The sequence below is a fragment of the Homo sapiens genome, chromosome 17 (genome assembly GCF_000001405.40).
Source record: "Homo sapiens chromosome 17, GRCh38.p14 Primary Assembly".
Taxonomy (NCBI): Eukaryota; Metazoa; Chordata; class Mammalia; order Primates; family Hominidae; genus Homo; species Homo sapiens.
The window spans coordinates 28,599,463-28,626,121 of NC_000017.11; the positions used below are offsets into that span (position 1 = coordinate 28,599,463).

General features: G+C 46.8%; 2 protein-coding genes and 1 long non-coding RNA gene across 9 annotated transcripts in view, besides 2 other annotated features; 1 reads left to right on the forward strand and 2 right to left on the reverse strand.

The window, feature by feature from the left end:
• Positions 1-73: part of an enhancer, noted in NCBI's record as "active region_11934", that runs on past the window's edge. NCBI's record gives its function as "activates an Ori minimal core promoter by ATAC-STARR-seq in GM12878 lymphoblastoid cells {active_cell/tissue: GM12878}" and the evidence as "EXISTENCE:reporter gene assay evidence [ECO:0000049][PMID:35858748]".
• SPAG5-AS1 (SPAG5 antisense RNA 1) overlaps positions 1-17,915 on the forward strand; it is an 18,245-nt gene extending 330 nt beyond the window's left edge. Inside the window, exons 2-3 of the long non-coding RNA NR_040012.1 lie at positions 236-393; positions 16,823-17,915. This is a non-coding gene — a long non-coding RNA (SPAG5 antisense RNA 1). The remainder of the gene's footprint in view (positions 1-235; positions 394-16,822) is intronic.
• On the reverse strand, positions 8,501-14,723 carry RSKR (ribosomal protein S6 kinase related). The gene is made up of 12 exons (NM_001174103.2): positions 14,625-14,723; positions 13,978-14,226; positions 13,800-13,883; positions 13,616-13,684; positions 13,156-13,225; positions 12,800-12,904; positions 12,582-12,622; positions 12,306-12,333; positions 12,105-12,194; positions 11,931-12,019; positions 11,681-11,791; positions 8,501-11,237 (listed from the first exon to the last, which is right to left on the reverse strand). Exons 1-12 carry the CDS (start codon positions 14,697-14,699, stop codon positions 11,016-11,018), a joined length of 1,233 nt encoding a protein of 410 aa, NP_001167574.1. The 5' UTR covers positions 14,700-14,723; the 3' UTR covers positions 8,501-11,015.
• Positions 11,888-13,087: an enhancer, noted in NCBI's record as "BRD4-independent group 4 enhancer chr17:26938368-26939567 (GRCh37/hg19 assembly coordinates)". NCBI's record gives its function as "activates an origin of replication core promoter dependent on BRD2, P300/CBP, MED14 and CDK7 cofactors, and independent of BRD4, by STARR-seq in HCT116 cells {active_cell/tissue: HCT116}" and the evidence as "EXISTENCE:reporter gene assay evidence [ECO:0000049][PMID:35650434]".
• Positions 14,978-26,659, reverse strand: part of BLTP2 (bridge-like lipid transfer protein family member 2) — a 30,720-nt gene continuing 19,038 nt past the window's right edge. For 4 of the 7 annotated variants that reach the window (NM_001363826.1, NM_001363827.1, NM_001363828.1 and 1 more), the window contains 15 exons: positions 24,771-24,928; positions 24,298-24,504; positions 21,937-22,036; positions 21,526-21,708; positions 21,047-21,168; positions 20,398-20,553; positions 20,192-20,313; positions 19,329-19,509; positions 17,770-17,856; positions 17,427-17,537; positions 17,156-17,291; positions 16,917-17,047; positions 16,634-16,735; positions 16,202-16,336; positions 14,978-15,784 (listed from right to left, as the gene is read on the reverse strand). In NM_001363826.1, coding sequence (NP_001350755.1) covers positions 15,602-15,784; positions 16,202-16,336; positions 16,634-16,735; positions 16,917-17,047; positions 17,156-17,291; positions 17,427-17,537; positions 17,770-17,856; positions 19,329-19,509; positions 20,192-20,313; positions 20,398-20,553; positions 21,047-21,168; positions 21,526-21,708; positions 21,937-22,036; positions 24,298-24,504; positions 24,771-24,928 — 2,114 coding nt within the window. In that variant the 3' untranslated portion in view covers positions 14,978-15,601. Of the gene's footprint in view, positions 15,785-16,201; positions 16,337-16,633; positions 16,736-16,916; positions 17,048-17,155; positions 17,292-17,426; positions 17,538-17,769; positions 17,857-19,328; positions 19,510-20,191; positions 20,314-20,397; positions 20,554-21,046; positions 21,169-21,525; positions 21,709-21,936; positions 22,037-24,297; positions 24,505-24,770; positions 24,929-26,659 lie in introns of those variants that run through there. The other 3 variants (NM_001321560.2, NM_014680.5, XM_047437146.1) reach the window with 2 other exon arrangements.

Consider the following 26,659-nt stretch of genomic DNA (forward strand, 5'->3'; position numbering starts at 1 on the left):
CGCGTCCGGGACGGCCCGGGCCGTGGTTCTCGACCTGGGCTGTAATGTCTCCAGAGTTTCTGGGCTTTTCCTGGGACTTACTCAGGCCGGCTACCAGTTTACTGGGCTAACCGCCTACATGTATTGAACATTGAGTGTGTGCCTGGCGCTATGCCGAATGCCGTGTAGTAGCTCATTTAATGCGCATAAGGACCTACGTAGTGAGAAATACTATAAATATCCCCATTTGTGACAGGAAGGAGCTGAGTCAGAGAGACCGTGTGTAATTTGCTCAGCGTCACACAGATAGTAAACGGCAGAGCCGCTCTTCCTCCCTGTCCCGCCAGCTCCTGCCTTCTGCTGTCTTGGATCTCCTATGCACGGGAAACCTGTTGAAGGTAGGACAGCCGAAAGGTCAGTATTCAGAGTGAGCCGTTTGCGAAGGTGTGTGTGCTTTGCACACTCACGGCGCCCTGTTTACACTCTGCAAGTCTTAATACATAGGGGGAAAGCAGCAGTCCAAAGAGGAGGAACTATGATGTTATAAACTGCAGCGTCCTCAGGGACGGGCTCCTCTAGCATTGTGTTGTCCAGTACGTTAGCCCTAGCCATAGTGGCTTTTGAGCACTTCAGATGTGACTAGTCCCAGTGGGAATGTGCTATAAATGTAAAACACTGTACAAACTGGATTTCAAACACGTCGTATGAAAAAAAGAATGCAAAATATCGCCAGGTGCGGTGGCTCATGCCTGTAATCCCAGCACGGAGGAGACAGAGGCAGGAGGATCCTTTAAGCCCAGGAGTTCGAGACCTGCCTCGGCAATATAGTGAGACCTATGTCTACAAAAAAAAAATTTGGGCCGGGCACGGTGGCTCACGCCTATAATCCCGCACTTCGGGAGGCCGAGGCAGGCGGATCACCTGAGGTCAGGAGTTCGAGACCAGCCTGCCCAACACGGCGAAACCCCGTTTCTACTAAAAATACAAAAATTAGCCAGGTGTGGTGGCACACGCCTGTAATCCCAGCTACTTGGGAGGCTGAGGCAGGAAGAATCTCTTGAACCTGGGAGGCGGAGGTTGCAGTGAGCTGAGATGGCACCACTACACTCCAGCCTGGGTGACAGAGCTAGACTCCGTCTCAAAAAAAAAAAAAAGTTAAGCCAGGGGTGGCAGGGTTGGGGGCACACACCTATAATCCCAGCTTGGGAGGATCGCTTGAACCTAGTTCAAGGCTGCTGTGAGCTATGATCATCCCACTGCACTCTAGCCTGGGCGACAAAGCAAGACCTTGTCTCAAAAAAAAAAAAAAATATATATATATATATTTTTTTTTTTTAATACTGTTTACATATTGAAATATTTTAGGAATATTGGGTTAAATAAAATACATTAAAATTAATTTTCTTTTGAGACAGGGTCTTGCTTTATCACCCAGGCAGGAGTGCAGTGGTGCAATCATGGCTCACTGCAGCCTTGAACTCCTAGGTTCAAGCAATCCTCCTGCCTCAGCCTCCTGAGTAGCTGGGACTACCGGCATGTGCCACCACGCCTGGCTAATTTTTTATAAAGACAGTCTCTTGCCATATTGCCCAGGCTGGTATTGAATTCCTAGGCTCAAGCGATCCTCCCATCTCAGCCTCCCAAAGTGTTGGGAGTACAGTCATGAACGACCCCACCCAGCCTTTTTAAACTTTTTTTTTTAATCTAATTTTTTTTTTTTTTGAAACATGGTCTGGCGCTGTTGCCCAGGCTGGAGTGCAGTGGCACGATCTCACCTCCCTGCAACCTCCACCTCCTAGGCTCAAGCGATCCTTCTGCCTCAGCCTCCCAAGGAGCTGGGATTACAGGCATGTGCCACCACGCCTGGCTAATTTTTGTATTTTTAGTAGAGACAGGTTTCACCATGTTAGCCAGGCTAGTCTTGAACTCCTGAGCTCAGGAGATCCACCCGCCTCAGCCTCCCAAAGTGCTGGGATTACAGACATGAGCCACTCTACCCGGCCCCTCTTTTTACTTTTTGAATGTGGATACTAGCAAATTAAAAATTACTTATGTGGGCCAGGCACAGTGGTTTGGCTGATCTTGGCTCACTGAAACCTCTGCCTCCCAGGCTTAAGCAATCCTCCCACCTCAGTCTCTTGAGTAGCTGAGACCATAGGTGCATGCCACCATGCCCAGCTAACTTTTTGTGTTTTTGGTAGAGACGGGGTTTCACCATGTTGCCCAAGCTGGTCTCCAACTCCTGAGCTCAAGCTGCCTGCCCGCCTCGGCCTCTGAAAGTGCTAGGATTACAGACGTGAGCCACTGCACCTGGCCTATTTAAATTTTTTTAAAAAAGCTTTGACAACATTTCTACATTGAAGACTCTATCAAACAAGTAACCAATAAATTGAGATTACTAATTTATTACATCAATGAGCAAGTGAACAAATGAACAGATTAATATGTAATAAAGTAACTTAGGTTAGAGATAAGAAATAATGAGTAGAGCTACAAAGATACTTTTCTAGAGGAGTATAGGATTGGTGTTGACTAATCTTAAATTCTTACAAAAGATAACATGAAATATAGAATTAAATATCCATTACAAGTGAAGTCTATCAGATTTCTTTTTTTTGAGACGGAGTCTTGCCTCGCTTTGTCACCCAGGCTAGGATTAAAGGCACGTGCCACCACACCTGGCTAATTTTTATATTTCTTTAGTAGAAACAGGGTTTTACCACGTTGGCCAGGCTGATCTCAAACTCCTGACCTCAAGTAATCCACCTGCCTCAGCCTCCCGAAGTGCTGGGATTAAAGGCGTGGGCCACCACACCTGACCTCTTTCTTTTTTTGAAGCAAGGTCTCTGTCACCCAAGCTGGAGTGCAGTGGCATGATCATAACTCACTGTTTCAATTGGCAATAATCAGTAATAATTGTGCCTCGGATAAACCTTACTGGCTATGATACTGCCACTGCCCAAAGCTGATTATAGGTCACTGTAGCCTCGACCTCCTGGGCTCAAGTAATCCTCCTCAGCCTCCCAAAGTGTAGGGATTATAGGCATGAGCCATTGCACCTGGTCCTGATTTCTTTTAGATTAAAAAAAAAAATCAGAGCATATAAACTTAAAAGATCATTTCAGATTGTATATTGAAAAAAATGAAAAAAAAAAATTTTTTTTTTTTTGAGACAGTCTCACTCTGTCACCCAGGCTGGAGTGCAGTGGCACAATCTCGGCTCGCTTCAACCTCTGCCTCCCAGGCCCAAGCTATTCTTGCGCCTCAGCCTCCTGAGTACTGGGATTACAGGTACACACCACCATGCCCAGCTAATTTTTATATTTTTAGTAGAGACAGGGTTTCACCATGTTGGCCAGGGTGGTCTCAAACTCTTGGCCTCAAGTGATCCACCCACCTTGGCCTCCCAAAGTGCTGGGATTACAGGCATAAGCCACTGCACTGGGCCTAAGGGAATTTTTTTTTTTTCTTTTTGAGACGGACTCTCACTGTCACCCTGGCTGCTGGAGTGCAATGGCGTGGTCTCGGCTCACTGCAACCTCCGCCTCCCGTGTTCAAGCGATTCTCCCACCTCCACCTCCCTGGGACTACAGGCACGTGCACCACACCTGGCTAATTTTTGTATTTTTAGTAGAGACAGGGTTTCACTATGTTGGCCAGGCTGGTCTTGATCTCCTGACCTCGTGATCCGCCCACCTCGGCCTCCCAAAGTGCTAGGATTTACAGGCGTGAGCCACTGCGCCGGGCCAGGAATTTTTTTAATTTTAATTTTTAATTTTTGTGAGTATATAGGTGTATATATTAAGTGAATTTCATGTGAATATGTAAAAGGTATAAGTCAGTGACTCTGAATGGAGGTGGAGGGAAGAGGAGGAGAAAATGCCTTCCAGAGATAATCACATCAGAACTGGATGAAAGAGTCCGTGCTTTTTCTTTTTTTTTTTTTTTAATGGGAAAGGACTTCAATATTTTATTTTATATACTTTCTTTTTTTTTTTTTTGTGGGTTCCTCTCTTTTTTTTTTTTTTAATTTAATTTTATTTTATTTTTTATTGATCATTCTTGGGTGTTTCTCGCAGAGGGGGATTTGGCAGGGTCATAGGACAATAGTGGAAGGAAGGTCAGCAGATAAACAAGTGAACAAAGGTCTCTGGTTTTCCTAGGCAGAGTGTTTGTGTCCCTGGGTACTTGCGATTAGGGAGTGGTGATGACTCTTAACAAGCATGCTGCCTTCAAGCATCTGTTTAACAAAGCACATCTTGCACCGCCCTTAATCCATTTAACCCTGAGTGGACACAGCACATGTTTTAGAGAGCACAGGGTTGGGGGTAAGGTCATAGATCAACAGGATCCCAAGGCAGAAGAATTTTTCTTAGTACAGAACAAAATGAAAAGTCTCCCATGTCTACCTCCCTCTACACAGACACAGCAACCATCCGATTTCTCAATCTTTTCCCCACCTTTCCCCCCTTTCTATTCCACAAAACCGCCATTGTCATCATGGCCCGTTCTCAATGAGCTGCTGGGTACACCTCCCAGACGGGGTGGTGGCCCAGCAGAGGGGCTCCTCACTTCCCAGCAGGGGCAGCCGGGCAGAGGCGCCCCTCACCTCCCAGACGGGGCGGCTGGCCGGGCGGGGGGCTGACCCCCCCACCTCCCTCCCGGACGGGGCGGCTGGCCGGGCGGTGGGCTGAACCCCCCACCTCCCTCCTGGAAGGGGCGGCTGGCCGGGCGGGGGGCTGACTCCCCCACCTCCCTCCCGGACGGGGCGGCTGGCCGGGCAGAGGGGCTCCTCACTTCCCAGTAGGGGCAGCCGGGCAGAGGCGCCCCTCACCTCCCGGACGGGGCGGCTGGCCGGGCAGGGGGCTGACACCCCACCTCCCTCCCGGATGGGGCAGCTGGCCTGGCGGGGGCTGACCCCCACCTCCCTCCCGGACGGGGTGGCTGCTGGGCGGAGACGCTCCTCACTTCCCAGACGGGGTGGCAGCCGGGCGGAGGGGCTCCTCACTTCTCAGACGGGGCGGCTGCCGGGCGGAGGGGCTCCTCACTTCTCAGACGGGGCAGTTGCCGGGCGGAGGGTCTCCTCACTTCTCAGACGGGGTGGCCGGGCAGAGACGCTCCTCACCTCCCAGACGGGGTCACGGCCGGGCCAAGGCGCTCCTCACATCCCAGACGGGGCGGCGGGGCAGAGGCGCTCCCCACATCTCAGACGATGGGCAGCCGGGCAGAGACGCTCCTCACTTCCTAGATGGGATGGTGGCCGGGAAGAGGTGCTCCTCACTTCCTAGGTGGGATGGCGGCCGGGCAGAGACGCTCCTCACCTTCCAGACTGGGCAGCCAGGCAGAGGGGCTCCTCACATCCCAGACGATGGGCGGCCAGGCAGAGACGCTCCTCACTTCCCAGACGGGGTGGCGTCCGGGCAGAGGCTGCAATCTCGGCACTTTGGGGGGCCAAGGCAGGCGGCTGGGAGGTGGAGGTTGTAGCGAGCCGAGATCACGCCACTGCACTCCAGCCTGGGCACCACTGAGCACTGAGTTAACGAGACTCCGTCTGCAATCCCGGCACCTCGGGAGGCCGAGGCTGGCGGATCACTCGCAGTTAGGAGCTGGAGACCAGTCCGGCCAACACAGCGAAACCCCGTCTCCACCAAAAAAATACGAAAACCAGTCAGGCATGGCGCCGCGCGCCTGCAATCGCAGGCACTCGACAGGCTGAGTCAGGAGAATCAGGCAGGGAGGTTGCAGTGAGCCGAGATGGCAGCAGCACAGTCCAGCTTCGGTTCGGCATGAGAGGGAGACCGTGGAAAGAGAGGGAGAGGGTTGGGCATGAGAGGGAGACCATGGAAAGGAGGGAGAGGGAGAGGGTTCGGCATGAGAGGGAGACCGTGGAAAGGAGGGAGAGGGAGAGGGAGAGGGAGAGCTCTATTTTATATACTTTCTCATGTTGTTTTAATTTTTTGTTTTTGTTGTTCTGATAGAGTTTCTCTCTTGTTGCCCAGGCTGGAATGCAATGGCACAATCTCAGCTCACTGCAACCTCTGCCTCCCGGGTTCCGTGCTTTTTCAAATTATAAAAATTATACTTTCTCAAACTTTTTTTTTTTGAGATGGAATTTCACTCTTGTTGCCCAGGCTGCTGGAGTACAATGGCGTGATCTTGGCTCACTGCAACCTCCGCCTCCTGGGTTCAAGCAGTTCTGCTGCCTCAGCTTCCCGAATAGCTGGGATTACAGGCATGAGCCATCACGCCCAGCTAATTTTGTATTTTTAGTAAAGACAGGGTTTCTCCATGTTGGTCAGGATGGTCTCGATCTCTTGACCTTGTGATCCACCTGCCTTGGCCTCCCAAAGTGCTGGGATTATAGGCGTGGCCTTTTTTTTTTTTTTGAGACGGAGTCTCCCTCTGTCGCCAGGCTGGAGTGCAGTGGCGCAAGCTCAGCTCACTGCAACCTCTGCCTCCCAGGTTCAAGTGATTCTCCTGCCTCAGCCTCCCAAGTAGCTGGGACTCCAGGTGCCCACCACCATGCCTGGCTAATTTTTTGTATTTTTAGTAGAGACGGGGTTTCACCATGTTGGCCAGGGTGGTCTCAATCTCTTGACCTCGTGATCCACCCACCTCGGCCTCCCAAAGTGCTGGGATTACAAGGGTGAGCCACTGCGCCTGGCCCTCTTCTTTTCTTTTCTTTCTCTCTCTCTCAGTCACCCAGACTGGAGTGCAGTGGCCAAATCATAGCTTCAGGTTATGATCATAACCTGGAGCTTCTGAGCTCGAGCAATCCTCCCACCTCAGCCTCCTGAGTAGCTGGGTGGTACAGGACCACCACATCTGGCTAATTTTTTAATATTTTTATACAGACGAGGTCTCACTGTGTTGCTCAAGCTGTCCTGGAAGTCCTGGACTGAAGTGATCCTCCCACCTCGGCCTCCCAAGGTGCTGGGATTACAGGTGTGAGCCACCATGCCCAGCCAAAACCTTGATTTTTCTGTCACCCCCTCCACTGCACCCTGAGAATCACTGCTGTAAGTAGACTACTGAAGAGAGTATGTTGAAAATGTTCTCATTTGGTAAGAAGTAATTCCAACTACATTCACGTGATTATGGTCTCTAAACTAATATGACCTAGGAGAGAGACCCTAGTGACATTATGTTAACCATTTCTTAAGGACCTTAAACCCTAGTGACATTATGTTAACCATTTCTTAAGGACCTTAAACCCTAGTGACATTATGTTAACCATTTCTTAAGGACCTTCGCCCACTGTGCTGCTGTGGCCACAAAAGCCATATAATGTTGGGTGACCTGAATATCAATTAACACAGTATTATAAAATCCTCTGCATCTGCACTTTGAAAAAGCATCACAGGGCTGGGAGCAGTGGCTCACGCCTGTAATCCCAGCACTTTGGAAGGCCAAGACGAGTGAATTACCTGAGGTCAGGAGTTTGAGACCGGCCTGGTCAACATGGTGACACCCCGTGTCTACTAAAAATACAAAAATTAGCTGGGCATGGTGGCAGGCGCCTGTAATCCCAGCTACTTGGGAGGCTGAGACAGGAGAATCACTTGAACCCGGGAGGTGGAGGTTACAGTGAGCTGAGATCGTACCATTGTACTCCAGTCTGGGTGACAAACTGTACTCCAGTCTGGGTGACAAGAGCAAAACTCAGTCTCAAAAAAAAAAAAGAAAGAAAAAGCATCACAGGCCAGGAACAGTGGCTCACACCTATAATCCTAGTACTCTGAGAGGCCAAAGCAGGTGGATCACTAGAGCCCAGGAGTTCAGACCAGCCTGGGCTACATGGCGAAATGCCATCTCTTAAAGAAAAGGAAAGGGGAAGGGGAAAGAAAAGAAAGGATATGAATAAATTGCCTTATTTATTTATATAAATAAATAAATTTCAGCATCACAGAAATCTGAACCCATACCCCACAATTAAGAACCAGTGGTTATTTTACCCTCATTTTATACACCAGGAAACTAAGATCCAGAGAGGTTAAAATGACTTATTAAAGAAGATGAGAGCCTGGGCGTGGTGGCTCACGCCTGTAATCTCAGCACTTTGGGAGGCCAAGGCGGGTGGATCATCTGAGGTCAGGAGTTCCACACCAGCCTGGCCAACATGGCGAAACCCCGTCTCTACTCAAAATACAAAAATTAGCCGGGCGTGGTAGCATGCACCTGTAATCCCAGCTACCCACGAGGCTGAGGCAGGAGAATTGCTAGAACCTGGGAGGCAGAGGCTACAGTGAGCCGAGATTGCGCCACTGCACTCCAACCTGGGCAACAGAGCAAGACTCCATCCCCACCAAAAAAAAAAAAAAAAAAAAGACGATGAGATAGTTATTGGTGGATCCAGGCATCAGATCTCCTAAATTCCAAACAAATGCTCTTAACTACTATTTTGGAAACCATTAATTCCTATTTTTAGTATTCAGAGTTTTTATCCAGTGTGCAGTTCTGGTCATCACAATTTTTAAAAAGTAATAAAAGTGTCTAAAGAGAAACAAATGAGATAAAAGGATAAAGGATACATTGCCTTATTTATTTATATCCCAACCTTATTACAAAAAGGCTTACAAGATGCAGATATTATAGTAATATAAAACGATTAAAACTTAGAAAAATGAGAATAAGGAAAATAAAAGTAGAAAAGGAAGACAGAACCAAGAACATGACTAGCATACAAAATACATAAACACTTGCTGAAGGTAGACCACAAATTGGGCTCTAAATGGTCTAGTATCAGTACAAACAGAAAAATACAATCAGCTGAATATTTAGTGTCCTTAAGGTAAAAACCAAACAGCAATTCAGGAAAAGCATAACTGGGTCCAGAGAAAATTTCTCCCACGCATTCTTAAATAGAATATTATGAACTGTTACGATAAACACCCTTTACAGTATCCACAGCAATTAAATTTATTTTTTTCCTGAGACAAGATCTCACTCTGTTGCTCAGGCTGGATGCAGTGGCACGATCTTCACTCATTGCAACCTCCATCTCCTGGGTTCAAGCAATTCTTCCCCCTCAGCCTCCTGAGTAGCTGGGACTACAGTGTGTGCCCTCATGACCAGCTAATTTTTGTATTTTTTGGGGAGAAACGGGGTTTCACCATGTTGGCCAGGCTGGTCTCGAACTCCTGACCTCTGGTGATCCGCCCACCTCAGCCTCCCAAAGTGCTGGGATTACAAGTGTGAGCCACCACACCTGGCGAGCAATTAAATTTCATAGAGATTTTCATATGGATTACCAAAGTCCAATCCAGAAAAAGCAATTCTGCAGAGGCCAATAAAATGCCAGCTATGCATGGGGAAATCTGGCTCAATCTAGAGACAAAATTAATAAATAGAACTAAAGAGTACTCTCCAGACTGTCTTTTGTCTAGAGAGATTAGATGTAACTAAATAATATGGTCTAGATTAAAACTTACTTTCCCTTCAAGTCTCAGGACAAAAATGAAAATTGTGAGAAATTAGTTTAAGAAAAATGAAAAGAAGTCATAAAGGCCAAAACTGTATACAAATTTAAGGTCCAGATGATTTTCCTTACTAAAGGAAAAGGTTATTGAGATATGTCTCTAACCTTAAATCTTTTTTTTTTTTTTTTTTTTTTTTTTTTGAGACAGAGTCTACCTCTGTCACCCAGGAGTTCAATGGCACAATCTTGGCTCACTGCAACCTTGGCCTCCAGGGTTCAAGCAGTTCTCCTGCTTCAGCCTTCTGAGTAGCTGGGACTACAGGTGTGCAACACCACACCCAGCTAATTTTTGTATTTTTTTAGTAGACACAAGGTTTCACCATGTTGGCCACGCTGGTCTCGAACTCTTGACCTCAACTGATCTGCCCACCTTGGCCTCCCAAATAACCTTAAATCTTAAGGTTGATGCATGCCTCTTAATCTCTTGGTTTGCCCATCAGAAACTGAATCATGGGCTCACTAGGAGAAATTGTCAGTTTAAAAATCCTATGCTTTTCAAAGAGGTTTTATTTTGGATAACTGTTGCAATTATAGACCTAGAGAAGACATTTAACCCACCCATGTTTCAGTTTCTATTTTCTTCCTCACTAGATTATTTTATTCACTTTTCAATTTTTAAAAATTAGATTTATTGCAGACTGGCCTCAAGCTCCCAGACTATATTTTTTAGCTGCATTATTTAGGGGTTGAAATGCCAGCTTTTGAGACTTTTGAAAAATTCACAGGCTGGGTGTGGAGGCTCATGCCTGTGAAGGTTGCAGTGAGCTGAGATCGTGCCACTGCACTCCAACCTGGGTGACGAGAGTGAGACCCTATCTCAAAAAAAAAAAAAAAAAAAAAAAAAAAGGGTCTGGTGCAGTGGCTCACACCTACCTGTAATTCCAGCACTTTGGGAGGCCAAGGCAGGCCGATCACTTGAGGTCAGGAGTTTGAGATCAGCCTGGCCAACATGGTGAACCCTGTCTCTACTAAAAAATACAAAAATTAGCTGGGCATAATGGTGTGCATTTGTAATCCCAGCTACTCGGGAGGCTGAGGCATGAAAATCACTTCAACCCAGGAGACGGAGGTTGCAGTGAGCTGAGAACGCACCACTGCACTCCAGCCTGGGCAACAGAGTGAGACTCTGTCTCAAAAAAAAAAAAAAAATTCATATTGCTTCTGACAAGCCTATTAAACACATCAATAGCACCCTGGGAGCCCATGAAGTATTATTATTGCTCAAGAAAGGAAACATGGCAGAGAAACAAGCAGAAGCAGCTCTGGCTGACAGCCTGAGGGTAAAGAGCACTGGAGAAGTAAAGAAAAGGAAAAGGTCACCACCCTGATCTGACATGTTGAATTGAGAGGTAGGTTGTATGATAGGGAAGGAATAGGGCCAGCTGTGGCTGCCAGTAGCAGAATGTCCAGGTTGGAACTCTGGTCTAAAGCCTAGGAGAGCAGAACGGTAAGAGGCTACAAAATAAAAACAAACTGGATTATCAAGGTGGTCATACTGAGTAGGCAGGGATGGAGATCTTCAGGCTCCCAGCCGGGCCCCAATTTACAGTAGAGAGGCTCAAGCAGGGATAGGGTAGAGCAAGAAGGACTCCAGATCACAGTCAAAGTCGTCAAAGGGCATGGTCTCCGCTGAACTGGGCTGGGTAGCTTGTGTCTCCGTGACAAAGTTCACTGGCTGCTTCTGTAGGAGCTCTGGGTCGAAGGCCACACCCCGAAAGAAAGGGTGGACCTGGAAGTGATGCAGATAACGTAGACGATGGAGGGGGTTCTGGCATAAGAGCTGAAGGAAAATAGAGCATGAAGGATGAGTGACTAGGACAGGACAGGCCTGAACAGAAAGGATGGAAAAGAAGAAAGAAGTTCATGGAGCTGTGGAGGGTAGGAATAAGAACCCTGAAGAGTAGATGATTTGTAAAAGAGGGAGAAATAGAGGCTAATTTGGGGCAAAGGTGGGAATAAGGAGCTGTGCTTGTGAGTTTTCAGATGAGTGTACAGTGTTCCACTCTCTCAGAAGGGACCTCTCTGTTCTAGATGGGGAGGAGATTTGGGGGACCAGGAACTTAGGAATGTGACTCAGTACAGCTTAGATGGCAAGTAGTTAGGTAGTTAAGTTGGAGCCCCCTCAAAAAAACTGATGAGAGGAATGGGGAAAAATCACTTTAATGAAGGCAGGAGAGCATTAATGGTTTCGTAGCCAAGAAGGAAAGCAGTGCTCATCCTTACCTCATGGAGCAGGAGTGAGAGGCCCTGGTTAAGAGAAGCTGGGATCTCAGAGTCACTGTGGGTCACACTTGCCAACATGGCCACATGATCTCTCTCTGCAGCCACTGGAAACTGAGTTAAGAGGTAGGGAGTGGAGGTAGGGGTAGGGGTTCATTCCTTAGTAGGAATACGGCAAGATTTCCTAAGGTCTTCCTTCTTCCCACCACAAGGCAAAGCTCTTCTCTGCCCAAAACTACTACTATTCTCTCACCTTTCCAGTCGCCAGAGAGAAAAGCAAGACACCCAGGGACCACCAATCAGCAGCATGGTTGTAAGGTCCTCCACTTAGGACCTCTGGGGCTACAGATTTCAAAGATACTCATCACAGACATCCTTTAGCTATCCTCCTGCCCAATGCTTACCCATCAGCTTTAACCTCTCTCACCCATGTACTGAAGAGTGCCACAGATAGTGTAGGCTTGAGCTCCCTGGGGCACGTGGCGGGACAGACCAAAGTCTGTCAGTTTCAGATGGCCTATGAAAGAAGGTAAGGCAACTGCACCACTGTTCCACCCATCATCAGCCATGATTTATTCCCAAACCAAAGTACCTCTCATCCTGGGGCTAAGGAAGGAAAAAGACTTACCTCGTTCATCTAGAAGAATATTCTCCATCTGAAAGATCACAGGTGAGAAGTAATTCTTCCTCTTCCTTTCAACTCTCTTTCATCATGTATACACCCCAGCTGAAGGTGATGCCCTACTCAGCACTCAAATCTATACTCAGAGAGCCCTTCCCCAAATCCTTGGCACCCATGGGGGCCCCAATGTCTACAGTTCTCAGCTCCCTAACTTCTTGGACTTGTTGGCACTTCTTATTGAGACTCTTTCTCAGACAAAGGGAAAAAAGCACTTAACTCTACCTTCACATCTCGATGCATGATGCCCAAGTCATGGAGATAACCTGTGGATAACAAGTATGGGGTATGCTGCAGCTTTTCTGTCCTTTCCAGTTTCCCTAGTAGCCCTCATCCCATCCCTATCCTATTCTTTAACTTCCATTATTAATATTAATTTTTTACTCTCCTTCTTCCGAACTTAAATCTTCCCTCCCCATTTCCTTTACCACTGTTTCACTTACACAGTACCAGCACCAACTCGGCAGCAAAGAGACGGATGGAAGCCTCAGGAAAGCAGCCAACAGCCGACCAAAGGGAGTACAGATCTGTGCTGCAGTAGCTACACACTGCAAAGCCAGTGTGGAGCTACATACATTGCCAGAAGTCTAGGCAATGTTTGGGAGCTGCAATGCCTGGGCTCAAGGCATTGTAGGCCTCCTGCCCAAACTGATACCACCTGCTGTTCCCCTCCCTTTGGGACAGAGAGGTGCCATGAGAAGGGGGACAGAGCAAAGGCAGAACAAGCCAAAGAGGTAATCTCAGGTGGGGAACATGGTACAAAGACCCTGGGGGATGAGGAGAGAGTCCAGTCACTCACTAATGAAAAGGTGCCGTTTTCCCTGCCAGCTGTCCCCCAAGCTGTGTACAAAGGGATGGTTGATCTGTCGCTAGGAACAAAGAAAACAGGAAGTTAGGGAGGAACAGGGTCATTGAGAATAAAGGCAGCTGAGAAATCAGGTTTTACCCAGATGTGCAGAGGGGGAACTGCTGCCTCACCTCTCAGTTCAGAGGAACTCAATATTTGGAACTGACTATCTGGTAATCCTAGAACCAGCAAATACTAAGGAATACACTGGGACATGCTTCAGAGATTTCCCTAGTAGGACATGGGAAAACTGTGTTGAGAGCTGATACTTTTCCCAGGATCTACTTTAGTGTTAAACTAGGCTGAAGCAGATGGATGAGGCAGAACCAGGAAAAGAAGGTGGGCAAGAAAGGTACTTTCCCTACCTGTGGCCTAGCTCTTCCCACAATCCTTTCCAGGACTCTGTGCATACCTGGATGCTAACCTCCTCTTTGCACTGCCTCACGGTATCCCTCTGTAGGACCTTTACCTTGGGCACCACCTATAAAAGGAGAGTAGTGATGACTCATAGATAGTGCTATTGAATTGTTTATTCCTCCCAACCTCTCTGGAATCAAGATTGGAAACAGAGACTAATGTGGTATCTACGCCCCTACCTTCACTGCAAATACAGCTTTCTGGGTGCAATCTAGCACCTTGAGGACAGTTCCAAAGGAGCCTTTAGCCACGAGGCCTAAAATCTGTACAGAGGAATGGAGAACAGGCCAGTTGAGACTGGTCATTTTTAACTTCTCCCAAAGACTGAGACCCCACTCAGGGATTCCACTGACTTACCTTCAGCTGCTGCTGCCCCCTAATGGGCCTAATGGGAAACTCTGGTAGAAAGAGGTTGATGAACTGAGGCACTGGCCACTCTGGCAGAGGCTTCTCTACCAGTACTGGGGCTGGCTTTAGGGATTCCTGGTGCAGATAGTGGTGCCCCCGTAGTTCCCAGAGTTCTTCCAGATCTGACCTGATGGTTCCCAAACCTGTCCAGAGGCTCTTCCAGCCTCGGGCCCAGGGACCCCGGATGTTGCCACCCTGCTGAGAACCAAGGGAGCCACTCTAAACTTTCTGCTCCTGAGGCATAGCAGGTTCCACCCATCTTACTAGGCACTCCCTCCCCTTAAGTCTCAACCCCTAGAGGTACATTTTTGAGCATGAGGCAAAATTCCCATTACCCTTGCTTTGTGCTAAGCCCCAGATTTCCTGGGCACAATTCAAATCCTCTAGGAAAATAATTGTTGGACATTTTCACCATGACGCATTAAGAGTACAGCCTGCACCTCAGTATTGGGCTGTGATGCTTTCATAGTACAGCCTCCCTGCCCCACCCCCACATTGGGTAATCACTTCCATGCTCCTAACCAGGAACTTCCCAGGACTCAAGCCCATGTCTCCCTCTCCTCCCCTCAGTAGGCTGCCAGAGCCCCACAGCCTACCTTGTGAGGGACAGCCACCCGGGTGTGTTCCCCCTGCTGGGTGTGCTGCCCCTGCCGACAGCTTACTGCTCCCATTCCCAGCCTCTGCCTCCTCTCTCTGCTAAATCTGCTGTCCCAGTTATATAAGCAATTCCTCTCCCTGATGCTGCGTGACACGAGCCCCGCCTCTTCCAGTCTGCAGAAACCCATCAGCATGGGGCCAGAGTCACACTAGGACTAGAAATTTCTGTGATACAGCTTCAGGGCAGAGGAAGGAAGGGGCCACCCTCAGAGTGGCAGCTGCAGGATGTTCTGGGTTGATGAGGGAGGAATACACAGATTGAATGCATGCACTCAACACACACACACAAAAATGAGCATCAAATTTAAAATATCTTTTTTTTTCTCTTTAAATCATTTTGCCATTCTCCAGGGTATATCCTACGGGGAAGGGTAGGGGACCCATGGCCAGCCCTGGCTCCTACTGCCATCCTCCCAAGTGAACTTAGCACAGAGACTGGGGAGGGGTTGACCCCCACTCCAGAACACCAATACCTCTTTCAAACATGACAGTGGAGTGAGGATCAGAGGATCAGCCCCCTCCCGTTTCCTGGCACAGAGGAAGGACAGTTACACTTAGAAATATATATATAATATATATATATTTATATATGTCTATAAAAATTTATCACACTTGATCAGGACTATCCCCCTACCCTTTCACTTGACCCCAAGGGAATAGGGTCCTGCCCTGGGCCCATTCCCTGGGTCTTGCTCTCTTGTTGCCTCTCTGGCCCTGAGCCTGATCAGTGTGAGACAGAACTCAGCATTACTGTCCACCATGCCCTGCAGCGAACAGACCAGGTGCTGAAGAGTGATGCCTATGGGCTCTGACACCCACAAATCCTCGTGGATAACGGGAAGCCCCTCCCACCCCACAAGTCCCTGGAGCCTGAGCCAGAGTCAGATCCTGTACTGCAGCCACTCGAATCGCCAAATCATTTGCGCCTGCCAAAGATGGACTTCTTGCCAGGGTTCTTGTCGCCCACACTTAAACCAATGAGGAGCCGGGCTTTCTCCTCCTCTTCCTGCTGTTGCATGTTCAGGTCCGATTTAGTTTCTAGCTTTCCCCGGACCTCAGAGCCTGTTGCAGACTTCAGCCTTAGCTTCTCTTTGATTACCTGGCAGATTGGAGAGGAGTAAAAGAAAATGTAAATATTAGTGGGCAGGCAGAATAAATCAAAATGAACCAAGACAATAAAGATTTATTAAACACATCCAAGGCACAATGGGGCAATTCACATACAATGGTCTCTGCTTTCAAGAAGCTTACAGTCTAATTATAACCCCTTCTAAACTTTAGGTTGTGTTAGCTCTCAGTTCCCTAAAATCAATGGTGCTATACGAAACACTCAGTAAACACTGAATTTAATAATCTGAGTGAGGTCATGGAGAGGGTAGGCATAGAAGCCACTCACTTCATGCACCTGCCCCTTCCCAAGGATATTTATTCATGGATTCTAAAATGAAAGGCTCCTGAAAAGAGGATCTGCCTGCCAGCCCCATTAGCCAAACAGCCATGAGCCCTGGCGGGATACCTGGGCAACCAGGGCTTTGCGGCTGTCCCTTTTGACAGCCATGGCAAAGTCTAGCCATGTCCATGTGTTGTTGTGGTACTCCAGACAGGGCAGCACCAGGTTAAGGTCACCCCAGTCCACACTGTTCTTCTCACCCTGTAAGAGGAGGGGGAGGGGAAAGAAAAAAAGAGGGGTGGGGAATACATCAGCTGCCATTTTGAGTCCCAGCCAGCCACTTGAGTGCCAAGTCCTACAATAGTAACCTACAGATACTGATTTCCCCTTACCTCAGCCTCGTAATGATGCTGACTCTTGAGGGGAGCAGAGGGAACAGCAGATTTATCACCCACAGCTCAGCATCACAAACAACCTAGCTGTCTCCCTGTATAGAATCTCTGATCTTATCTGGTTCCCTTCCCACCCTGTTCTACAAAGTGCTTGAGAGGTGCAGACCTTGTAGCTGACACACAGTGGAACCTGTGGAATCTTTATGTAGATGAAGGAGTTGTTCATGGCAGCTCGCTCTTTCATCTTGTCAATGTCATCCACAGGGTGCTAAGAAAGGCAGGCAAGGAGTGTGAGCCCTGAATCCATCAGAAGAAACTCAGGACCCCAAACATCTCCCTCTTCTTTTATCCCTAGAATGGACTTAGAGGAAACCGAAGAAATCCCAAGCCACACCAAACAGGACCTCAAGACTCTCCCATTTTTCTATCATCAGGGGCATGTTTGGTACCTCTGGCGATTTGCGAAATGACCTTCTGACCCCAGAACTCCGAGTCAAACCCTGTGCCACACCCTTCCCAGGGCCCAGTGGTACTGCATCATCTGTTGCAATCAGCTGCCGAGGCTTCACCACTGGTATTCCTATGAAAAAGCAAGTGTACCAGCTGTCATCCATCCTCGTTCTGAAGTCTCAGCTGTCTTTGGGGTTGCTACCCTATTCTTCTGGGGCTCCACCATAAAAGTTCTCACCAGTAGTCACCAGTTTGGACTTATCCTCTTCATCACCAACTTCATCATCTTCCACACTTCGGCCAGGAAAGAAAAAGCCCATCATTCTGTGGAAGAACTGGTGTGTCAGCTGGATGGTGAGAGGCACCACATTTACCTAAAAAGGAAAAAGATTCAAGAAGCAATTAAGCTCAGATACCATCATCAGTTTACCTACTCCTAATATCGTGTAACACACAGGTGGCTTTTGAATGTCCCTTGTTCCCAGGTCCCTAAGGGACTGCTTACTAACCTCAAAATGCTCCTTAACAGAGATACCCCCAACAGGGGGCCGAACTTTGCTGAAGAGGCGGAGAGCTAGCTGTCGCCCAGACTGGCAGGAGCTCTGGGGCCGCAGTACTACCTGTAGGATAGAGAGTAAAGAAGAGCCCAACCCAATGTCCTTCCTGCCATAAAGCAACCCACAAATCCTCTGCAGAATGAGAGGAGAAGCAATGGTACTGCTAAGCTGGGCAAGCTTTCACCCTCTCAGATCACCACATTGTTTTCCATAGTGGATTTATACTGAAGGGCCGTTATAAATGCCCCGTGCTAAAAACATGCAAATGGACTAGGAAAGGGGAAAAAAGACTTGCCTTATAGACAGCATTGGGGAGGAGGTTGTTCATGGTAAACCAGCCCAACTCCAGAAGATGTTCTGCTGTGTCATCAGACTTATTCACCTATAAAGACAGATTTTGCCCCATCTACTATAATAAACCTTTCTCAGAAGTCTACTAGACAATTGTTATGTATCCAGTTTGTTTTCAGGCTCTACATATGCCTAATCCCAACCTTGAGATCTCCTTCAAACTCATACAATCAACACTCTTTAATCCAGTGTGTCTCATGGGCACTATTGTCCAGGACACTAAATGCTGGTAGTACTATCTAGCCATTGTGACATTAAAAAATGTTCTAATTCATTTCCAAACGCCTCTGGTAGGAGAAAGTAATAAATAATACTGCCTTCTTTACGTCAATGGCAGAAAAGCTGAATGTCAGTATTAGAATATTCTATTCCAAGCTAGACATGAAAGATTATTTGCCTCTGGGCCATACTTCTAGGGATCATCTTCTTACTCAACAAGAGAAGCATCTGATCAAACTCACCTGTATCTGTATCTTATTTTTATTTTTTTGAGACAGGGTCTCACTCTGTTGCCCAGGCTGAAGTGCAGTGACACAATCTTGGCTCACCGCAACATCCATCTCCTTCCTGGGTTCAAGCGATTCTCCTGCTTCAGCCTCCTGAGTAGCTGGGCTTACAGGCACACACCACCACACCCAATTTTCTTTTTTTTTTTTTTTTTTTTGAGATGGAGTCTTGCTCTGTCACCAGGCTGCAGTGCAGTGGCACGATCTCGGCTCACTGCAACCTCCACCTCCCAGGTTCAAACGATTCTCCTGCCTCAGCCTCTCAAGCAACTGGGACCACAGGCGTGCACCACCACGCCTGGCTAATTTTTGTATTCTTAGTAGAGATGGGGTTTCACCATGTTAGCCAGGCTGGTCTTCAGCTCCTGACCTCAGGTGATGCACCTGCCTCGGCCTTCCAGAGTGCTGGGATTACAGGTGTGAGCCACCGTGCCCGGCCTATCATATATGTTTTTAATTATTTATTTTCTTTTTTAGAGACAGGGTCTCACTCTGTTGCCCAGGCTGGAGTGCAGTGGTGTGATCACAGCTCACTGCAGGCTCGAACTCCAGGGCTCAAGCAATCCTCCTGCCTCAGCCTCCCAAGTAGCTGGGACCACAGGTATGCACCACGATGCCCAGCTAATTTTTAAAATTTTTGTTGAACTCTTGACTTTAAGCAATCCTCCCACCTCAGCCTCCCAAAGTTATGGGATTACAGGCATGAACCACTACACGTGGCCTGTATCATTTTTTAAAAATTATTTTATTTCTTTGTTCATTCTTACTCTCCCCCTATGGCATCAGAGCTATATGTGTATCATTCATTATAAACAGATATATCTAAGGAAGCTCTGCTCATTAATATGATTAATGAGCTCGTTAATATTAATGATACTATCATTAATAATCATACAATAATTAACCCCCTTTTATTTCTCTTTTATGAGTTAGACTCCTAAGCTAGGTCAATGTCTCTCAATACAGCTGCCTTTGTGTGACCATATACCCCAGATACCTTGCTGTAGAGGAACCTCTGCAGTTCTAATTCAGCAATTCCCAGCTGTCCATCTTCCTCTGTCAGGCGCCACCGTGCCTGAGCAAAGTAAAACTCAGTGCGACGGACCACACTCACATCTTCTTGCTGCTTTCGCAGCTCCATCTTGTTAGCCCGCTGCAGTTGGAAATCCTTAAAACACCTGTAAGTGGACAGGGGAGCCAAAGCCAGTAAGGGAAACAGCACATGGGTTGGGGGTGGGATAGAATGCTCTAGAATGATGCAGGAGGTAAACCCAGAAATTAACCTATTCTGGGTTAGCCAGTCCCTACATTTTTTTCACTGAATTTATTGCTCCTGACATTCTAGGTCATAGGAGCACAAATCCCATCTTTCAGCTCTATAGCTTCTTGATAAAGTAGTGTCTTCCCACTAATAATTCCTACAATTTTATCTGCAACTGTATACTGATCAACTTCAAGACATTTTCATATGTTTATGTCAGGTTCATTAAAAAAAAAAAGATATTTTCAGTTCAGATGCATAGTATCAAGGCCACCAAAGTGATCTTTCAGCTGGGTGTGGTAATCCCAGCTCACGCCTGTAATCCCAGCACTTTGGGAGGCCAAGGCAGGAGGACTGCTTGAGCCCGGGAGTTCCAGACCAGCCTGGTCAACATAGTGAGACCACTTTGTCTCTAAAAAAAAAAAAAGTGATCCTTCCCAACTACCCATTTTCTTATTCAGGAAGAGATGTCTGAACCTACTCCTACATCAGCCTTTGATAATGCACACTAGACCTAAAGACAGTCAAAACATGGGCAAGAAAGAGAACTGCCTCTAGCTGGGGCACTGGAAAAGGGCAAGGAAAGAATGCTGGGGCACCTGATGAGGATATTCAGTTCTTCACTTTCCAGCTGCAGGTTGGCCTTCTCCTGGTTTAGCTGCAACTGAAGCTTCTGGTTCAGGTCAAGCAGATTCTCATTCTTGCTGTCATCCTGCAAAGACTAGGGAACCAGGATAGAAACTGAGAGACCGCCCTCGTTCTAGGAGACTTCCTGGTTCTCAAACTATCTATCTGCAGTGACTACCTTCATGATAGAATACATCTGCTTCTCCAGCTGTCGTATTTGGGCCACATGCTGCCGCACAGCCTCCTGCAAATGCAGTATGCTGCTGCGTTGCTCCTCTGGATTGCTAGAGATCTCAAGCTGGAACCTGACCCGTTGCTTCTTCTCACTATGTTCCTAAAGGAATGGAAAGGGAAATGAATATGATTTTTAAGTAGACAAGTCTTGTAGTAAAGTGAAATAGAGAAAGGAGAAAGAAATGGGGGGGGTCTCTTCTAGAAAGCTAACCTTTATCTGTCACTGGTAATAGCAACAGTAGTAGGTCAATGCAGAAAATGTGGCAATGTGGATTTCACAATAGGTCAGGCCCAACAGGATGGGATGGAGGTGGAAGCAGGGAATAGTAAATGTTTTTAGAGGTGTCTAGGTGACTGAGTAGAGAAATGACTAGGAGAAAACAATCAGGCAAACAAGCCCTACGGTCTGAGAGATATTCAGGCCTTTCCTAAGTAAGTGGAATTTCAATTGTCACTGCCGACTAAGAGAATCTACCAACCACAAGGCCCTTTTTCAGTGTGAAGCATGGCTTTTGTTACAGAAGCCCAAATAAAGCACAAAGTCTGGGTGTTCCTGTGAGGCTAACCAGCATTCTACAAGGGCCCATGCTCACCTTCCGCTTAGGTTCTACATGGAGCAGCAGGTTGTTGACAATGTCCAGGATCATGGCATACTGAGCTGGGTTGGTGGAAATTTCCAGCTCATGGTGGATAAGGGTGAAGGTATCCACAGCCCCTAGATAATTGTTAGCAGCTAAATAAAAGGCTCAAGTTTCTACCTAAATATCTACTCCATCTCTTAACCCACATTTGGAACCACCCCACTAGTCAACCCCACAGAAAGGGTGAGAGTTGCTCATGGGCAGAAACATGTTTACTTCAGAATCATAAACAATGCCCATTCATCCCAGCTCCCTCCAAGAATAGAGGTTATTTTCTCATAGCAGAACTTACAAAAAGTAGAGCAAAGTGAAATGTTAATGCCAGTGCACAGTGGATTTTTAATAACTCTACTGTCTCAAAACCACCAAGGAAATAACTACTTTCACAATTTCTCTAGTCCCTTCCTAAAAGCCTTTCAAGCCCTGAATACCTTCCTGCTTCTTTAGGAGATCTTCCTTTTCCTGGTTCTCAAGAACTTCAGGTGGCTTAATCTGAGTTGCTAGTTCAGGATCAATGTCATGGCTGTAACTAATATAGTACATTCGGCAGTTGCAACGCGAAATGATCCGCTGGACTTGCTGGGCTTGCTGTGCCTCAGCTGGCTGGTTCCAATCTGGGAAGAGGTGGGAAAGAGATAAGAAAAAGACATTCTCAATAAAGATAATGTGAGAGCCTCCCAGCTATGTCTCAGAAACTCCAGAAACACTGCTTTCAACCCAGCCTAGCACAAAATGGTCCTACTCCAGCATACACTGACGTTAAGAATAGGTAGGGAAATGAGGTCCCTTTGGGATGCACATCTGCTCCTAATCATTTGATGCAGAGGAGGGGGAGGGCTGACCTGTGGTTGTGGTAACCATGCCGCCCACTGCCTGCCCACTCTCCATCAGCTCCTGCACAGAGTCCAGACTACGCTGCCGGTGCTCCTCGATATTCTTCACCTGAAGAAAGAGATGCAGGCAACTTTAGCTCCTGGGAAAAGAGTGGCTTGTCCTGGACAATTGGGTGACAGATCTCCATGTTTCAAGTAGTTACACTTACTATCTGGACCTCCACTGCATGGAATAGCTTGAACCATATCTCCCAGGATAGAGGACATACTTGTCTCATTCTCTTGCCCCAGTCTACCCAAATTCTCCAACCCAACTGAGTTACATGCACACTTTGCCAGGCCCACAGGTCTCGAGCCAGAAAAACAATGAGAAAGGTTCAAATCTAATCATGTCATGGGCAAAATATCTCATTAAAAAAAATGACTTTCTCACACATTTTGGTATTTGTTCCATTTGTGTTCTTGCTTTTTCTATCTTCAGATAGATAACCACTCTGACAATGTTGCCATGGGCGAAGGGAATTGAATTATTTTTATTCACTCTGCCAAGCTGAAGTCAGAGTGAATAACATTGAGTGAGATGGGAAGACCACAGCAGATGGTGGATCTGACAAGTCTCAAAAAAATATAGGAAAGGCCAGATCAAAGTCCCTTGTACCTAAGCCCAAGATGTTCCACTCTAATGCTAGTATCGCAGCCTGAGGGGGGCGGGGGGAAAGAGTTCACCCACAAAAGAAGGCATGCCTAAAAGCAGCAGAGGTGCAAAAAATGCCAGAAAGATCCTGATAGCTCATCCATTCTACTTCTGCATGGGTAGTTAACACCTGTGCTTACCTCCTAAGACTACTGATAAAGAGCACTGCTTGTCTGAATGAACCACAGCTCTTATATATCAGCATGACTTCTCATATTACCAACAACCGGTCCCTTACACGGCTTAACATCTGATCTAAATGCTCATTACCTCTTATTACACTTGAGGTTGCCTGGATTAAGCCCTAAGGTCCTTGATAAAAGAAGCATCAGCCAGGGAGGTGAAAAGAGGGATCAGTTTTATCCCCACTAAGTAGAACTGCAAATGGACTTATCACTGTGGTCCTTACCAGATACAGCTAAATCCTGTAACTCATATAGGGGGTGTACCATGCCCAGTACAATGTGGACACTTAACACCTGTTAAATAAGTAATAACGCACAATATTGCCTAGGCATATCTCATAATCAATAGACTCTCCAATAATTCTGATGATATTATATCTTAGAAGTTACAGGGTAAAATATAACCTGGTTCAGTTTTACCAAGAAGCTGAAAAGAAAATTAACAACCACGCAATGCAAAGACAGGCTCCTTCCCTTGTTTCTGCCAACTGCTCACAATCTCACCATCTAACAAAAACATTATCTTGGCTGGGTGGGGTGGCTCACGCCTGTAATCCCAGCACTTTGGGAGGCCGAGGCGGGCGGATCACGAGGTCAGGAGCGTGAGACCAGCCTGGCCAACATGGTGAAACCCTGTCTCTACTAAAAATACAAAAATTAGCCGGGCATGGTGGGGCACGCCTGTAATCCCAGCTACTCAGGAGGCTGAGGCAGGAGAATGGCTTGAACCCGGGAGGCAGAGGTTGCAGTGAGCTGAGTTCGCGCCATTGCACTCCAGCCTGGGCTACAGAGCAAACTCTGTCTCAAAAAACAAACAAACAAAAAAAACAAAACCACATTACCTTGCCACACACTTAGACCTCCCCAGACATACTGACTTAAAAAAAAAAATAAGAGTACTTTCCACCTGAATAAAGCTTTATATTTTCAAAGCACCTTATGTGATCCTTTCAACAATCTTGTGAGGGTGAAGTATCAATTCCATTTCACGATTAAAGGTGACTTGTCCAAGAGCTCATGGCTACTATAATGGGAAAGCTATCATTAGAAATCACATAACCTGACTCCTAGGCAGTCTTTCATTCAACCTCACTGCCTTGCTGAAATAACCAATCAGTCATTTTCATGAGAGGACAGAGAAAGGGCAGATAGTGAACTTACTGAAAATTCTCAGTCACTGCCTGTTTTCTTGGCTGCCTGCTGATTAGTGTGAACATTAATAGGGATCAGCAATCTTAAAAACAGTTCCAGTCCATTTTATACGAGTTCTGAGAAATGAGAGTTTCTTTTGCAATGAAATAGAACACCATGAGGAAAAAAAAAAAAAGCACTACATGCTTCCAGACCAGAGATTGCCCACATTCAAGGTGTTATTAGCCTCATTATTCTGCTAAGCTAGTAACAGCAGGTTACTGTCAAGAATCTTCCAGCCATTAGAAAGTCTACGGAAAACCAGGAATATAATGGGCCTTCACAAACTCACTGACTAACCTCTAACCAGAGCTGTCGGCCATCCTGCTCTGTGGGGCTGCTTTCAGTGGTGGCAAAGTACTGCATGCCATCCAAGAGGCAAGTCCAGGATGTCTTTTGCTTCAATGTATCACCATACCAGGCTGGATGGTGCTGGCACTGCAGCAGTTGGGCTTTGGCAGCTGACACAATGACACAGCCTTCTGTCTCTGCTCCACGAAGAACCATCTATGCCAGAGATAGAAGCAGAGTTAAGCTACCAAGGACGATGAGGTTAGTGAGCACATTGTATCAACCACTGCAGCTAGGTCTAATGCTGGCTTACCAAGTAAATTTTACTGGCTTTTAGACATAGAAGTGATTACCTATGATACCTATGAGAAGGCCAAATTTTTTGGAGCTCTATTCACCCATTCATATTTAGAGGTGGGGGAAGGGGAACAATATGATCATGATCTAGCCTGATGTTGAGGTAACTTGTAAAGAGAAGGTACCTGACAGTTGACCAATTCAATAAGGCAGTTTCGGTTGTATATGTCATCCGTCTGGCAGGCAGCAATGCCACACAACTGGTCACTCATGCCTGATTCCTCTTCTGTGAACACTACAAACCTATCTGTCTCTTCAATTAGCTTCTGCAACATGTAAGCACCTGGCAGAGAAATAGGAAGCAGGGAAAGGTCACAGTCTCAAAGGGAAAGACTTTTCCCTTTCCAGAGCCAAATTGATCTTCCCTCAATTTATCTGGCTAGGTAAGAGCTTAGAATACATCCTCCCAAACCTAAAACTCTAGCCCAGCCCATCCCTTGACCCATGAAGGCAAAACAAGGGTTATTTCACTTTCCCTTCAATTTTAATAAAAGTAACAGATTCCCAACAGAAACTTAGAAATGCTAGGTAACATTTTTTTCTCTTAGGTATTACTCTATGATCTCTCCCTTACCCCCATTTTATTTCTTTTTTCATTTCATATTATTTTACATGTTATTTGACCACTCTTTTCCACTTGAAACCACTCTCTTGCCATCAATGTCATTATATTCTCTGAGGTCTGCTGCTTCCCCTGATTATGTCTCCAGGCCCTCTTCCTTCTCCCAGGTCTAAGCTCCTCAGATCCATCCTTGGCATGTTCCCTTCTCTTTCCTACTCTTTCTCTTAATGGGTTTGTCTAACAGAGTGTATGGTTAAGAGCACAGTCTCCAGAATCAGACTAGTCTGCCTGTATTGTGACCTTGGGCAGTCTGCCCTCTTTGCATCATAGTTTACTTGTTTGTAAAAGAGTAACTCTCTCATGAGATTGCTATGAAAGTTTAACGGGGCCAGGCGCGGTGGCTCACGCCTGTAATCCCAGCACTTTGGGAGGCTGAAGTGGGCAGATCACGAGGTCAGGATATTGAGACCATCCTGGCCAACATGGTGATACTCCATCTCTACTAAAAATACAAAAATTAGCCAGGTGTGGTGGCATGCACCTGTAATCCCAGCTACTTGGGAGGCTGAGGTAGAAGAATAGCTTGAATCCAGGAGGCAGAGGTTGCAGTGAGCCGAGATTGCACCACTGCACTCCAGCCTGGTGACAGAGCAAGACTCCGTCTCAAAAAAAAAAAAAAAAAAAAAAAAGAAAAAGAAAAAGAAAAAGAAAAAAGAAAAAATGGAAAAATACATAAAAATATTCTCTTACCTCTATGCTGAAATTCCCAAATATCTATCTTTAGCCCTAAGCTTTTAGACTCTAATTTCCAGCTGTTTGTTAGACATTATATTGATACCTTACTAGTGACGCAAATTCAGCATGCCCAAATGTGAACTCAACAATCCTACACCTCCCAAACCTGTTTAGTCTCAGGCTCTATTTCTGATATTACTGTTACCATCATGCCAGTCATCAGGCTCAAAATCTAGTCGTTATAATTTTCTCCCTTAAACTCCTCCTTCCAACCAGTGGTCAGTTCACCCATATGCATCTTAATCTTTCCATCCATCTTATCTCCATTCCCACTGCCTCTACCTAGTTCTAGCCCTCAATGCTTTTTTTTCTTCCCTTGAGATGGAGTTTCACTCTTGTTGCCCAGGCTGGAGTGCAATGGCGCAATCTCGGCTCACTGCAACCTCCACCCCCAGGTTCAAGCAATTCTACCGTCTCAGCCTCCCGAGTAGCTGGGATTACAGGCACACACCACCATGCCCAGCTAATTTTTGTATTTTTAGTAGAGACAGGGTTTCACCATGGTGGCCAGGCTGGTCTCAAGCTCCTGACCTCGTGATCCATCCGCCTCGGCCTCCCAAAGTGCTGGGACTACGGGCGTGAGCCACCATGCCTGGCCCCAGTTCTCAATGCTTCTTACTGAGACACCATGATAGTTTCCTAATTTGTCTCCCCACC

Excerpts from the sequence above, each read along its gene's own strand:
- RSKR (NM_001174103.2), bottom strand. The coding sequence starts at position 14,699 with ATGGGAGCAGTAAGCTGTCGGCAGGGGCAGCACACCCAGCAGGGGGAA. Across the intron at positions 14,227-14,624 it reads GGGTGGCTGTCCCTCACAAG|CAGGGTGGCAACATCCGGGG; the intron begins GTAGGCTGTGGG and ends CTTGGTTCTCAG. Across the intron at positions 12,334-12,581 it reads TCATGCATCGAGATGTGAAG|ATGGAGAATATTCTTCTAGA; the intron begins GTAGAGTTAAGT and ends GTGATCTTTCAG.